This window comes from Homo sapiens, chromosome 10 (assembly GCF_000001405.40).
Source record: "Homo sapiens chromosome 10, GRCh38.p14 Primary Assembly".
NCBI classification, from domain to species: domain Eukaryota; kingdom Metazoa; phylum Chordata; class Mammalia; order Primates; family Hominidae; genus Homo; species Homo sapiens.
In genome coordinates this window covers 16,989,854-17,004,562 of record NC_000010.11, presented here as the reverse complement: position 1 = coordinate 17,004,562, position 14,709 = coordinate 16,989,854, and the positions used below count along the sequence as shown (strand labels likewise).

Sequence of the window (14,709 nt, the reverse complement as noted above, 5' to 3'; positions counted from 1 at the left end):
TGGTGCATGGTGGTGCCATTATTCATAGATAGGAAATCCCAGATAAAGACCATGTTTGGGGGAAAATTGTGAGCTTCTATTTGAACATGCTGAATTTGAGATGTTCAGGGGATGTATCCTTTCAGCAATTGCTGGTGTCAGTATAAAAATTAGGTGAGGTTTTGGGCCAGAGAAAGAGACTTTGGAATAAACTACATGTTGGTGAATTTGGAGTTGTGAGCATGATGAAATATATATCCAAAACTGTGCAAGGTATTTTTAGGCATATGAAAGAAATACCACGTTAGTCTTTGTCTTCAAGCTGAGCATGATCAGTTAGGAAGCAGGTGTAGAAAACTAACAGAAGTGCTGAACTGTGAGGTGCCTATTGCAAGGCTAGTAAGGAGGCTGGAAGTCATTGGGGAAAATCTTCACGGACTCTGTGAGATTTTAGAGCCCTTGAAGAATGATCAGGACAAGAAATGACAGATGGTGCCTGGATAAGCATGAGCCAAGAAAGAGAGAGAAACAAGCCTGATGTAATGAAGACAGTGGGATATGAGGCTTCGTAGACCTCCTGGGCTAGATTCTTTAGAATTCTCAAAGCCAGCTAGACTAGTGTGAACTTAACGTAGTAAGGAAAAGGGAACCACTGTTGTTTTAGACAATGGAGTGGGAAATGTCAAGGGAGGAGATTACAACTGGAGACATCATAGATCACAGTGACAGAGGCAACCCCAGGGGACCATTCTGGGTCCTGGTTACTAAGAGCGAGGAATAGCGGTCTGCAGAGACAAGACAACTGATGATCCAAGGTGAGTAACATTCTGATGAATCCTCAGCAAAGACACTCAAGGGCTATGTGGCCAGTGCTGTGATAAATCCTGGCACAGAAAATATTAGATCAATTGCCGCATTCTCTCTTCCTAATAATTTCTTCAAAGTTATAACTTTGAAATACAGACTCATGATTACCTAAGTTTTCCAGTTTGAAAATGATTTTAGGGCTCTTTTTTGTTATTGAACAAAAAACTTTTGTTGAACGAAAAAATTTTATTGAACAAAAAATGTTCAATTTAAAATTTTTATTATTGTGTGTCCTTGCTGCCACGTGGTGAAAAAATTCACAACAATCTGGAAGTATGATGTTGGCAATGAAAGTGATTTATGAATTGTGGTCAGCAAAGATTCTAGCGCAGGTTCACAGGGCTGGGCTGTGAATCACACTGTCTGGTTCTAATCTCAGGCGCAGACCTTCTCTCCGTTGGTAATGGAATTGCTTTCACAGTGTCGCTTCCTGCTAGGCTGTGATAGACATAATGTCACACAGAGAGAAATGGTAAAGCACCCATCCATCCGCCTCCAAAGTAACCTCAAGAATTTGATGTCAGATAAGGAAATCCTGCTTGGTTTTGGTAGAAATTTAAGTAAAAGAGAAGCTTTTAAAAACAACTAGCTCTGTTTAAGTTAAGAGATATTTCCCTAAATGCTGACTATTCTTTCTCTCACATTTATACATGCTATATCCCATCCTGTTTATGATGGCTTTTTCAGCCTATTTGATATTTTGGGCTTTTGTCTTTGTGATACTCTTAAAATATTTTTAAGCATGGAGACTGGAAATGAGTTCCTTCTTAGTGTGGAACCAAAGCACAGGTTTCTGCATCGTGATACTGAGTCTGATTTGTATTTATGACAAATTTTCACTTATATCTTTTCTGCAAAGAAATTCTTAATGGACGATGCTCATTTCTAAGAAATCTGTTTCTAAATAACTCCTTGTTGTAAAGTTGGGATAGTGACTAAGAAAATCCCACAGCTCTTTTGGCCTTGACTTCAGAGTTTCTCCAGCAAGGTCCCAATGATCAGAGGCAGCATTAAAGCTGTGCATATGCAGACCTTTCAGAATGAGTGGAAAAGCTCACTCCTGACATTTCTGCCTCCTTGACGACAGCAGTAAATACACATCCACACAGTTGACCTTCATCTCATGTTGGCTCTGAGTCTCTTCACCAGCAAGGGCCTCTCAGGAGTCTCGCCTCCCCATTCCCATGTCGCCACTGTTTGAAAAAGTTGGAGTTCTATTTCTATTGCCACTCTTTGAAACAGTTATAAAAAGAAAAAAAAATAACCCTCAAACCACCATGACCTTCCCAAATCACAGATTGCACAATTTGTAATAACAGTCCTTGAGATCTGGGCCAAAGAAAGGGCTTTCTCGAAACTTCTGTTTGTGTTCTGGTTCCCTGGCAACAATATCCCCAATAGAGGAATGCATGTACTTTGCAGGGGATTCCACACTTTTTCGTATGACACAAAAACCAAAACCACACTTTTTTTTTTCAGTTTCAAATATCATAGCAGCCAAAAATGAAGTGTAGAAACTTGAGTTCTAAGCCAACTCAGAACAAATGTGACGTTCAGCGTAGAACCTGAATTTTTGTCCCCAGAGGTTTCTCTTTTCGACCATTGACTTAAATGTTGCCATATTTGTTTCAAACATTACATATCCAAGGACTTGTTTTGTGTGAATGCACTGTGTACTCAGAGGAACAGAGGAAGCAGTGCCAGGTGGCAGCAGCATTGTCTCACAAACAGAACAAATCTGGTGGAGGACAGTAACTACCACTTATAAGAGTTAGTAGAATTTGATAATCTGTAGATCAGTAATGACAATAATATACTCTGTCCCTGATTTTTTTCTCCTCCTAGTTCCACAGGCTACTCAAATATAGACTATTTTGACCCTGTGTACCAAAATAATGAAATTGAAGGAATGCAGGATAAATAATATAGATTTTACCACCTAAATGTAATCTTAAATTTGTCTGAAGATATTATGATAAAAATAAACTATCTTGCCATGTAAAGAGTGAATGAAAATATGATTAAACGCTTAGTGCATTGGTTTAATTGACATCTCATTCACTATTACTGTTGTTGATGTTATCATTTTAAAACATGACTCAACATGTGTAATTTAAAAATATGATCTTGAGAAGTGAAGCCAGCTGGACTTCCTGGGTCCAGTGGGGACTCGGAGAACTTTTCTGTCTAGCTTGAAGCATTGTAAATGCGCCAGTCGGCGCTCTGTGGCTAGCTAAAAGTTTGTAAATGCACCAATCAGCACTCTGTAAAAACAGACCAATCAGCACCCTGTAAAACGGACCAATCAGCACTCTGTAAAGTGGACCAACCAGCGCTCTGTAAAATGGACCAATCAGCAGGATGTGGGCGGGGCCAAATAAGGGAATAAAAGCTGGCCTCCTGCGCACCAGTGGCAATCCACTGGGGTTGCCCTGCACGCTGTGGAAGCTTTGTTCTTTTGCTCTTCACAATAAATCTTGCTGCTGCTCACTCTTTGGGTCCGCACTACGTTTATGAGCTGTAACACTCACTCCAAAGGTCTCCACCTTCACTCCTGAAGCCAGCGAGACCAGAAACCCACCGGGAAGAATGAACAACTCTGCACACACCACCTTTAAGAGCTGTAACACTCACTGTGAAGGTCTGCAGCTTGACACCTGAAGTCAGCAAGATCACGAACGCACCAGAAGGAAGAAACTCCGGACACATCTGAACATTTGAAGGAGCAAACTCCGGACACACCATCTTTAAGAACTGTAACACTCACTGTTCAGGTCCGTGGCTTCATTCTTGAAGTCAGCGAGACCAAGAACCCACCGGAAGAAACCAATTCCGAACACAATCTCATGTCTCATCCCAATAATTTTCTTAAATGAGCATTATCATTCCCTTATTATGGATGAGAAAACTGAGGAAGAAGCCTGAGACAAGTTAAGTGATGTGTCCAAACTTACACATCCACTAAGCAATGGAATCAGAACACAAAACTCAGTGTGTGATGTCAAACTCAAAGGCCGTGCAATAAGTAGCACGATGGTGCCTGAAAGCAAATATTTTTTCCCCACAGCTTTTCATTGCAAAAAAAGGTCAAATGATATTGCAATGCAAAGAAGGTCAGAGCTTATAGTAGGTAATTTTATAAATTCCCGTAATAATAAATGTTTTTAAAAAGATGTGTGCAATCTTACCCAAGTAAATGGTGATCCAGTTTCAAAGGCTTCCCACTAAGTGACACAATTCATTCTTTCTTTAGGTTCAAGTAGCAATAATATGTGGGTTGGGGCGGAGGGGCGCATTGCTAGGCAAAAGACAAGTTCGAAATAGCTGATGTTATTTGCAATCCTTAAACACAATTTCTGCTTTATTACTCATTTATAAAGTGCTGTTCTGGAGCTGCTATATATGTTGCTGATGGAATCCACCGATCTGGGAGAAACCACGGAGATCATCTGGTCAGTTGCCAAGGTTTAGTTATACAAACTCGCTTACAAGAGGGAGAAGTTATATTAAAGTGAAGAGTAAAAGGGTAGCTGCTCCCAGAACAACTTGGCCGGGCTAGAGTGGACCATGGGAATGGGGTGGAGCATGTGAGGATTTGGGTAATTTAGTTGTTTTTCTTCCCCTAAGCTAAGGACCCAGGCTGGCTGGATGCAGGATTTGCCCTGCGAGGGGCCTGCAGCATGGGATGTTGTAATCAGAGAAAACAACCTTGAGGCTCAGATTTGGACAGAGTTTAAAGGGTCACAGAACACCACTGCCATGGACGTGGTGCTGCCCACCTGTGTCCATTTCTCCGGGTGGAGTCCTCTCCCTGCAGAGGGAAGGTTAGAGGTTGGAGGAGGTGAGGGAAGGAATCAGGGAGAGGCCTGCAATGTAGGTCCCTGGAGGCTCTTTGAGCTTTTCCCTGCAAGAGCCCTGTGTACCAAAATAATGAAATTGAAGGAATGCAGGTTTGAATAATATTTCTAAATAGAAGTATGACTGTTGAACTTGGAAACTGCCTACAGAGAACATGTTTTCTCTGTCTTTGTTTGTTTGAGGGATTTCATAAAGAAGCTTTCAGTAGCCTTAGGCATGACTGCTTATTTCAGGGAAGGTTAGTACAGTTATCTTAGTCTCATTTCTTTCCTTGTACCTTTTTATACTAAACTTTGTTTAGAAGTCTTCAATCATTTCAAAAACATCCAAGGAGAGGGAAAAGAGATTGATCAAATGATTGATTTCTCCTGAAGAATTGTAAGCAAGGGATTTCTACTGGGAAACCATTTTTTAATTTGATTGAAATTAGTAGCTTAAAAGGAAACTGATAAAGTTAATCAAAGTGAAAAGATGACAAGATTGGCTAACTTCTCTAGGTTAAGACGAAAGATAGTATCCTTTTGTATACAGGAAATTAAAATTTATATTACACAGAAACTCCAAAATTATGGCTTCTTTGGATTTCTTTCTCTTTGATGATGTACTAAAGGGAAACACATCAGTATTTAGATCTAGGCCATCTTAGATAGTCAGATGGCTATGACAGTCTTAACTTTGAGTATTTATATGACATCTTGAATAGGAATGTAAAGGTCATTATATAGCGGTCCACAGCATTGATTTCTAAGCTTCTTGTATCTGTTTTCCAAGTCACTGACTTCATGCAATAACTTATTCTTTCACTGTTTTTTATTGTATCTCTACCATTGAAACCCGATGCTCTACTTTATATCCACTGCTGTATAGAAATTAGTCGAATAAAATGGATTATCACAAAATATGGGGCAAGGATGAAGTCTCCATGGAACATGAAACTTTCTAAACGTTCATTGACTCTCCAACACTAAAAATCGTTATGACTTAACTCCCTGGTTCTTGGGTTTACCTGTTTCTTCCTGATGTGATACCTGGCCCTGTATTTGCTGCTAGTTTTCTCAACAATAGACCTTTTCTGTTTTCATGAAAATCTTACCCTTGACCAACCATCCTCTAAACCTCAAGATGACAAATAGGAAGTAATAATTACAAGATGGAATACAGAAAGTTTACAAATGTGCACTCCTTGAATACCACACAAATAGTTGTTACCATTTTGTACCTACCTGGGAGTTTGGCCACCTCAATTATCAGGGAAAGAATGAGGATACATTAGCTTCTTAGGGCTACTGTAACTAAGTACCACAAACTGGGTGGCATGGGACAACAGAAATTTGTTCTCTTTATTCTGGAGGCTGGAATTCCAAAGTCAAGGTGTTGGCAGGGTCATCCCTCTGACGGCTCTAGGGAAGACCCTTCCTTGCTGCTTCTAGCTTCTGTTGATTGATGGCTGTCTTTGGCTTTCTAAGCCTTGTAGATGCATAACTCCAATTTCTGCCTCTATCCACACATGACCTTCTTCCTTCTTGGTGTCTGGGACCAAATTTCCCTCTTCGTATAAGGATACCAAGAATATTGGATTTCAGTTCCACCCCAATCCAGTATGATCTCATTTTAACTTGACTGCATCTGCCAAGGCCCTTTCCTCCAAAAAGGTCACAGTCACAGGTTCCTGGTAGGCATAAGTCTCGGGGGACAGTGTTCAACCCAATACAGGGACAACTCTCTCCTCTCCTGGAGTCACGATGTTTTGTCCTCTTCTTCCTTTTCACTCTCTTCTTTCTTCCTTCTTTTTTCTCAAGGAAATTTTATGTTCCTTGGCCTTTATATTACTTGATTTTCTTCTTTGATTTCATCTCGTGATCACTCCAGTTTGTGTCCCCTTCCTCACAGAATACATGCTATCTGACTAAATCCCTCAGAAAAATCCATCTGCACATGCTTCATGTCCTTATGAATTTGAGGAGCTCCACCCTTGGCCTTGTGTTCAGAGAGGACTAGTGACCCTAGTAGGACAGATGCCTATCACTTGGCCACATACCTGTGAAATGTTGGGGAATTAACTGGTAACATCAAACCAGGAATTACTGACTTTTTGTGGTTCTCATTACATGCCAGTCACCTTTGGACAACTTTGGCCATTTTAAGGAGCACATATTCCTGTCCACTTCCCCACCCTCCCTGACCTGAAAGTTTCTGTTCAAAATCCTTGTAATTACGTTTTTTTATGTTTCATAGATGTATCGGAAGTGAGGCCTGTATACTCACTCCAGGAAATAGTTCACTTTGCCTTGGGTTGGGCCTTCCCCAGATTCTGAGCTCTTAGTTACCAATTCACATCACACCTGCCTTACCAAAAGGGTCCTTGCTGGCAGTTTCTCTTCTGTGTCCTCCCTTCCTCCACAAGCTGCCTTTTTTTTTTTTTTTTTAGATGGAGTCTCACTCTGTTGCCAGGCTGGAGTGCAGTGGTGTGATCTCAGCTCACTGCAACCTCCACTTCTTGGGTTCAAGTGATTCTCCTGCCTCAGCCTCCTGAGTAGCTGGGACTACAGGTGCCTGCCACCACGCCCAGCTAATTTTTTATATTTTTAATAGAGACAGGGTTTCACCATGTTTGCCAGGATGGTCTCGATCTCCAGACCTTGTGATCGGCCTGCCTTTGCCTCCCTAAGTGCTGGGATTACAGGCATGAGCCACTGCGCCCAGCCCACAAGCCGCCTTTTTACACAATGAAGGCAAACTGGCCTTGCCAATGAAGCACATCTCAAGGTCTTATAGAGCAGAAAGAGTTTTTATTGTTAAGTTATAGAAAAAAAGCTATTAAAATATAAATTGAGCATTTTAATGAAGCACGTGAACATCCTCACTAATTACTTTTAAAATTTAATTCTCTTTCACTGTGCCTTGGCTTTTGGCTTCGTTTTAACAGCAACTGTTGATTTCCCAGGCATTTCCTTTAGGAATGAAGGGATAAGGGTGGGAGGGTGTCGGTGATGAATCACTTCTCTCTTCCTTTTCTGCCATCCTCTTTGGGCTTTAGCCATGTGTATTTCAAGATGTTATTCCTCCTGATGCCATCAGTTTATGGCATATAGTTTCAGGAAAATGCCAGCCAGCAAAGCGCTGACTGCATTTGAGCAGTCGCCGGGCAATACAGCAGTTACTTTTTAAATTTTGTGCCTTGGATTCCATTTAGCTGTTTCATTACTGGTTTGCTTTTATTAAAGCTCTTATTAAAAACACACAGATACGAACTTAAAGATAGTACCTACATAGGAGATTATTATTAAATGTTTCAGTACTGGAATTTTATAACTCATGGCTTGTTTTGGACAAAAACCAAAACAATATTAGTGAAGTTCTTTTATGAAGGTATTTTAAGTTATCTACACAAGTAAGCAGGTTTAGCAACAGCTTGTAACTCTTGGTTGTTATGAGTTCAGCAGATCAATGTGCTTCCTGCAGATAAAGCAAGCACTTCCTTTCGGCAGATGAGTGAGAGTTTGGAGGAAAATCAAGGCAAACAGATGATCAGTCACCAGCTCTAAAACTTTTATAAAGATTAACTCTTTAAAACTGAAAAACATAGGCTTCTCTTCAGGGCATTATTTTATTCCAGTTCAGCTGATGTCTAATGATGTATTCTGTTAGATTTTGCCTCAAAGTCAATTAAAAGATTTTTGCTTTGTTTACGTTTTCCAGGTTGCTATGGTGATTGTCTTCAGTGGAGGGACAGGACAGTAATGAGGGCAGCATTCAACATTGTTAGTTCCGTGCCTTTGAGCTGAAGTTCTCGGCAAGGCATGGGGGAGAGAGAACACAGAAGTGGAGGTCAGGATCGGGGAGGGTGGGTGTCACAATAGGGTTTTGTACCCACATCTGCCATTCACTAAGTGATATGAGCATGTTCCACAGCTTTCTTGAACCTCACTTTGCTCACCTCTACAATGGGCCTGACATCATTGTTACCTGCCTCCCGTTGTCATGATTAATTTCAAATAAAATAATGCATTTCAAATAAAAATAATTCAAATAAAATAAAAGCACTTGAGAACTGAACTACCATAAAAATATGGATTGTCTTTTAAAAAATTTTTGTGCACCTTAATGAAAAACCAATTTCTTACCTCTTCTCTAGCTATTCATGATAGCTTTTTAACCAGTAATTCCTCTTCTAGCTCCAAGTCTTTGTCTCAAATCTGGGGATAAAGTCTTGTGAGGATACAAAACACGGCCAGGTGTGGTGGCTCATACCTGTAATCCCAGCACTTTGGGAGGGAAAGGTGGATCACTTGAGCCTAGGAGTTCAAGACCAGCCTGGGCAATATAGCAAGATCCTGTTTCAAAAGAAAAGAGTAAAAAAAAAATGTAAAGATAGAATACACAGCATGTGTGAAAGGATTATGATATGCACAACATTTAGCTAAAAACTTTGGATTGTTTCATTCATTCTATGTAACAACCCTATGAAGTAAGTATTCATACAGCTATAGATGAAAGAAAGGTTAGATTACTTACCTAGGAACTATCACAGCCAGTTTAGGAACCCATTTGTCTGAACTACAGCCCATGCTTCCTCTGTTACACTATAATGTTTCCAAAAGTTTTGCAATCTAACATGCCAATTAAGCAGTTCTAAAATCGTGTCTACTCCATGAAAACTTTCTCTTACCAAAGTGACAAAGAGCCACTGTGTCTATTTCTCTCAAAACTCTTTATTCCTCATGTCACTGTTCCTTTCTTGGTTGGTATTTTCATCTTTTTCATTTTTGAGACGGGGTCTTGCTCTGTCGCCCAGGCTGGAGAGCAGTGCTGTGATCTCGGCTCAATGCGACTTCCACCTCCTGGGTTCAAGCAATTCTCCTGCCTCAGTCTCCTGAATAGTTGAGATTACAGGCGCATACCACCACGCCCAGCTAATTTTTGCATTTTTAGTAGAGACAGGGTTTCACCATGTTGGGACAGGCTGGTCTCGAACTCATGACCTCAGGTGATCTGCCCACCTTGGTCTCCTAAAGTGTTGGGATTACAGGTGTGAACTACCACGCCTGGCTGGTATTTTCATCTTTTAAATTATCTTCTTTTATCTTCTTTTGAAAGGCTTTTCTAAATCATTGTCATCTATTTTAGATTATGAATGACCGGTGTTAAAAACTTCTGTATTTCTTTTACATTTTATTGTTCATTCAACCAGACAGGTAACCGGATGACGACAAGGATGTTGGTGGTCTAAACATCCCTGCCTGTGTTATTTCCTGATGGGTATTGGTTTATATAACTTCTTTCCTCTCCAGACTTGTGTATTCTCCATCTCTTTTTCCCTTCCCTGTTTGTTATCCCTTTGTCATGCATCCAGAGTCGCAAATATGACTGGTAATGGCAGGATGAGTTATTTATTCTTATTTGTAACTTACCAGTGATTAACATGTAAAGGATAGAATAGTATTCAGGTTGTTTTCTTCAAATAAAAACTTATTGAAATTACTCTTAGTAAACTGAAGGAGAAGCAAAAAGGGTTTAATAACTTGCAAGAAGACATGTGGGCAATAACACTTTTTATGTCTATAAATGTCTTTCTTTTTTTCAAGAGATATTAAATATGCTTGGCTTCTATAGCACTGCTTGTATTATGGGCAGATGCTCAATAAACACTTATGAGTGAATGAAGGAATAAATAAATGGAATTGGGAAGCTATTTTACCTCTTTCAAATTTTAGAAATACGAAGACAGTTAAGTTTCTACCGTAATTACCAGAATTACAACGTGCAGGTTTGTTACATATGTATGCATATGCCATGTTGGTGTGCTGCACCCTCCTAGTACTGTATAATTTTGACCAGAAAGTACCACTAAATTAATCTATCCTATTTTGCATTTGCTGTGAACTTTTAATTCAAATGTTTCCTTTTGATATGTTAATCCTCAGAGGTAGTGAGAGCATGAAGGAGAAAAAGAAAACTTCAGAGATTTCAAGCCCTAACTGTTTCTTTCCCTCTTTCTCATGATCATACAATATTTTTCCTGACAGAGTATCACTTATAAAATTGAAATTTCTCAGCTGGGCATGGTGGCTCACACCTGTAATCCCAGCACTTTGGGAGGCCAAGGCGGGTGGATCACCTAAGGTCAGGAGTTCGAGACAAGCCTGGCCAACATGGTGATGAAACCCCATCTCTACTAAAAAAAAAAAAAGAAAAGAAAAAGAAATTTTTCTTTAAGAAGCATACATATATGTGCTATTAACAAGATATACTTAAAAGTAAAATTTTGCTCTTTTTATTAAAGAAAACCTTGTGGATTATTTGCTTTAAATACTAGGAAAAAAGACATTGTGGGTCCATATAACTATACTGTAATTTTTTTAAAGCAATACTGAATGCCCCGAATCTGTATTACCATTCCAGTTTACAGCGACAATTTAAGGGTATTAGTATCCTGTTATTTGCGAAGGAATTCACAAGGAAATGTAAAACAATTGGAAAAGACAATGGAAAAATGTTACACAGAGTTTTATGTGAATCAACTAAGATAAAAAAATTGAATCAGATTGGCTGATGAACGAATGCTAAATAAAAATGCAGAAATGAGCTATCTAAACTTTCATTTCCTTCTTATCTTTTATATCATGTGGCCATAAAGTTATTTTCCTCTAGATTTTTTCCATTGGATAATTTATTTGATACTACTGATAGAAAGAACCATCTGAGCTGAAAATGCAAGTTGAGAAAAAAATTTCAGTAACAGGCTTTGCTTACCTGTAATGTATTTTAGTAAAAGGTGGTACATCTTAACACGAGTTACATGAGGCACTGTGTTGTACCACTCCGGAAGCATCCTGTTATAGAATGTCCTGTGAGCGGTGCTCCCTGGAGTTGGGCATTGGTACAGGAGATACGGACAATCTGTGATGATTTTGGCTTCAGGAATATTTGCCATGTGTTGTTGTAGTCGGACAAATATTTTCTCATCTTTTACGGTACTTGTGTTTTTTTAAGATTCATCATAGTCTCTAAACAATGTCAGCACATCTAATTTTAAACAGCTTTTTCGTAGGCTTTAGAAATAAAAGCCGGAACTTTTTAGGACACAGGAAAGATATTGCTCTGTGCAATACATTTAAAGTCTGAAAACGCAGAGGTTTTCAAGTGAAAGGAGACTGAGAAGTCAAGAAGATAGTAGTGCTTTGAGCTAGAGTCAGATTTCTCTGCCGAATCAAGATTCTTAGAATTCTCAGTGCTTCTCAGTGCAGTGGGGAATTCTGCACGGAGATTTTTTTTTTAACTCCTTAACTTTTAAAAGCTTTTCTTCTAACTCACTGTACAGGAGGAATTTGCATAGAGTGGACAGTAGACAAGATCTCAGACTTGGTGTCTTACTTTAGAAGCCATGGTAGTTTAATGTTATGTGAAAAATGCACGTTTACTCATAATGGAGTGAGGAGGCACTGTTACTTTTATTTTATTTTTTATTATTATACTTTAAGTTCTAGGGTACATGTGCACAATGTGCAGGTTTGTCACATATGTATGCATGTGCCATGTTGGTGTGCTGCACCCATTAACTCGTCATTTACATTAGGTATTCCTCCTAATGCTATCCCTCCCCCCTTCCCCCACCCCATGACAGACCTTGGTGTGTGATGTTCCCCACCCTGTGTCCAAGTGTTCTCATTGTTGAATTCCCACCTATGAGTGAGAACATGTGGTGTTTGGTTTTCTGTCCTTGTGACAGTTTGCTCAGAATGATGGTTTCCAGCTTCATCCATGTCCCTAAAAAGGATATGAACTCATCATTTTTTATGGCTGCATAGTATTCCATGGTGTATATGTGCCACATTTTCTTAATCCAGTCTATCATTGTTGGACATTTGGGTTGGTTCCAAGTCTTTGCTCTTGTGAATAGTGCCGGAATAAACATACATGTGCATGTGTCTTTATAGCAGCATGATTTATATTCCTTTGGGTATATACCCAGTAATGGGATGGCTGGGTCAAATGGTATTTGTAGTTCTAGATCCCTGAGGAATTGCCACACTGACTTCCACAATGGTTGAACTAGTTTACAGTCCCACCAACAGTGTAAAAGTGTTCCTATTTCTCCACATCCTCTCCAGCACTTGTTGTTTCCTGACTTTTTGATGATCGCACATAAAAAGCCTTGATGAAGAATAAGAGAAGGTAATTGGAAGAATTTACCAACCAATAAAGAATATTTAAAAAAAAAAAAAAACAGAAAAAGAGGCCCAGAAATGTTAAGAGCAAAAAATGTTTTGTTAATCACCAAAAATTGCTGTTGGAAAACAAGATAATTTCTTTTCTAATTGTGTCTCTCATAAGCCTTCCTCAAATTTTACCTCTTCTGCAAAGTTTTCTCTTCCTCTCCATACTGAAATCTCTGTCTGAATTCCTGCAAACGATTTGAGAGCCTGTGCGGTATAGTAATGAAGTATTAAGATACAACCAGATCACCTCAGTTAGTATCCTAGCATCAATTAACCTTGGAAAATCCACACCACCTCTGTTTGCACTGATTTGCTCATTTAAGAATTGGATCCTAACAGTACCTACCTCATGTGGTCCTTATGAGTACGGAAACAGAAAACACATGGAAAGCCCATATGAGGACTCAATGAAAGGTGGCATTATTCTACTGTGTGCCGCAGGCTACAGCATTTGATTATTTGTTGTCATGGTCTGCCTGAATGGCTTTCTAAGGCATGACATATCAAGATTCTGAAACACATGCTGTTGTCTTTTTCCTTGGTTGGATTTTTCTATATCCATTGTATTTTTTTTAATGTAAATTTGCTGAGTTAGGAACTATATAATTTACTTGTTTATTTCTTACAGTCTTTGGTACAAAGCTAAGGATTTTTAGCCCTTAAAATTCTAGTTCTTAGATCTGCACGGGACTGCAGAATAATGTATTAGCTACAAGGACACTGAAGGCCCAGGGACCTGAAGTTCACGACCACGGCTCACACGGTCCATTGTACTTCCGACTATGTTATGTAATTCTTACCTTATTATAATAAAGAAAATCTAAAATTAGAATGACTTTTTTTTAAAGTACGAAGGTTTGATATGGTAAGAAAAAGGATCGAGCATTATTGTACTAAATTATATATAATCCAGTGTTTTTGAAAGGATAAACTTAATAAGTTGTAGCCATGATTTTTTTCTCATTGTTTTATAACTGCATAATTATAACTTTATTGTAACTTAACGGTTTTCTCCTAAATTAAGCATTGTATATTTTTGATGGCCTTTCGGTGAGTTGAATTTGGAATTATTTTCCATGTGCTGTTGCCCACTTTGAACTGACTGAACCTTTCTGTTTTAACAGGTTGTGGTGGAGAGCTGTCTGGGGCCACAGGCTCCTTCAGCAGCCCCGGGTTCCCCAACAGGTATCCACCAAACAAGGAGTGTATCTGGTACATTAGGACGGACCCCGGGAGTAGCATTCAGCTCACCATCCATGACTTCGATGTGGAGTATCATTCAAGGTGCAACTTTGATGTCTTGGAGGTAGGAAGTGAGATGGTTTTTTCAGCACATTCCAAAGTTTGGGGTAGAACAGGAAATCACTCTGCCAAGATTCCGAATTCTTTCCAGTAGTCAGCAGTGTTCTATTCTTAGACATTTTAATGAGCATCAGCCCTTCGGTGATCATTTGGTAGACATGGGATTAATGTGTGGTTTGGGTTTTCCTGAAGCAATGCCTGAGGGCCTTGCAGCAGCTGAGTTAGGAGGTAATGCCAGGAAGCCGGAGCCCAGGACGAGTGAGTGAAGGAAAGGAGGAGGGGGAACCAGCAGAGGGAGCCCCTGGGGGCAACTTGGGCTCCATCCGCTGGGACCTTCTGAAGGACCACAGTGGAGGCACTGGTCCGCCAACTCTGGTTCCCATTGGTAAGGACTGCACTTGGGATGGCTAACACCTCACACTTGCAGTCTGAGAAAGCTCCCCCAGAAAGAGCATTCGTGTGGCGGAGCATAGAGACTGGGCAC

General features: G+C 39.7%; 1 protein-coding gene across 5 annotated transcripts in view, besides 2 other annotated features; it reads left to right on the top strand.

Moving 5' to 3' along the window:
- CUBN (cubilin) overlaps positions 1–14,709 on the top strand; it is a 305,846-nt gene that overhangs the window by 125,249 nt on the left and 165,888 nt on the right. For 4 of the 5 annotated variants that reach the window (NM_001081.4, XM_011519710.3, XM_011519709.3 and 1 more), the window contains one exon: positions 14,048–14,229. In NM_001081.4, the coding sequence (NP_001072.2) occupies positions 14,048–14,229 (182 nt within the window). Of the gene's footprint in view, positions 1–596; positions 795–14,047; positions 14,230–14,709 lie in introns of those variants that run through there. The other variant, XM_011519711.4, reaches the window with a different exon arrangement.
- Positions 8,090–8,234: an enhancer, noted in NCBI's record as "145 bp enhancer 283 fragment used in the MPRA reporter construct; PK_construct_4261". NCBI's record gives its function as "activates an SV40 promoter by MPRA in K562 cells {active_cell/tissue: K562}" and the evidence as "EXISTENCE:reporter gene assay evidence [ECO:0000049][PMID:23512712]".
- Positions 8,154–8,171: a transcriptional cis regulatory region, noted in NCBI's record as "GATA motif; enhancer activity is reduced when this motif is scrambled". NCBI's record gives its function as "necessary for full MPRA enhancer 283 activity {active_cell/tissue: K562}" and the evidence as "EXISTENCE:site-directed mutagenesis evidence [ECO:0005528][PMID:23512712]".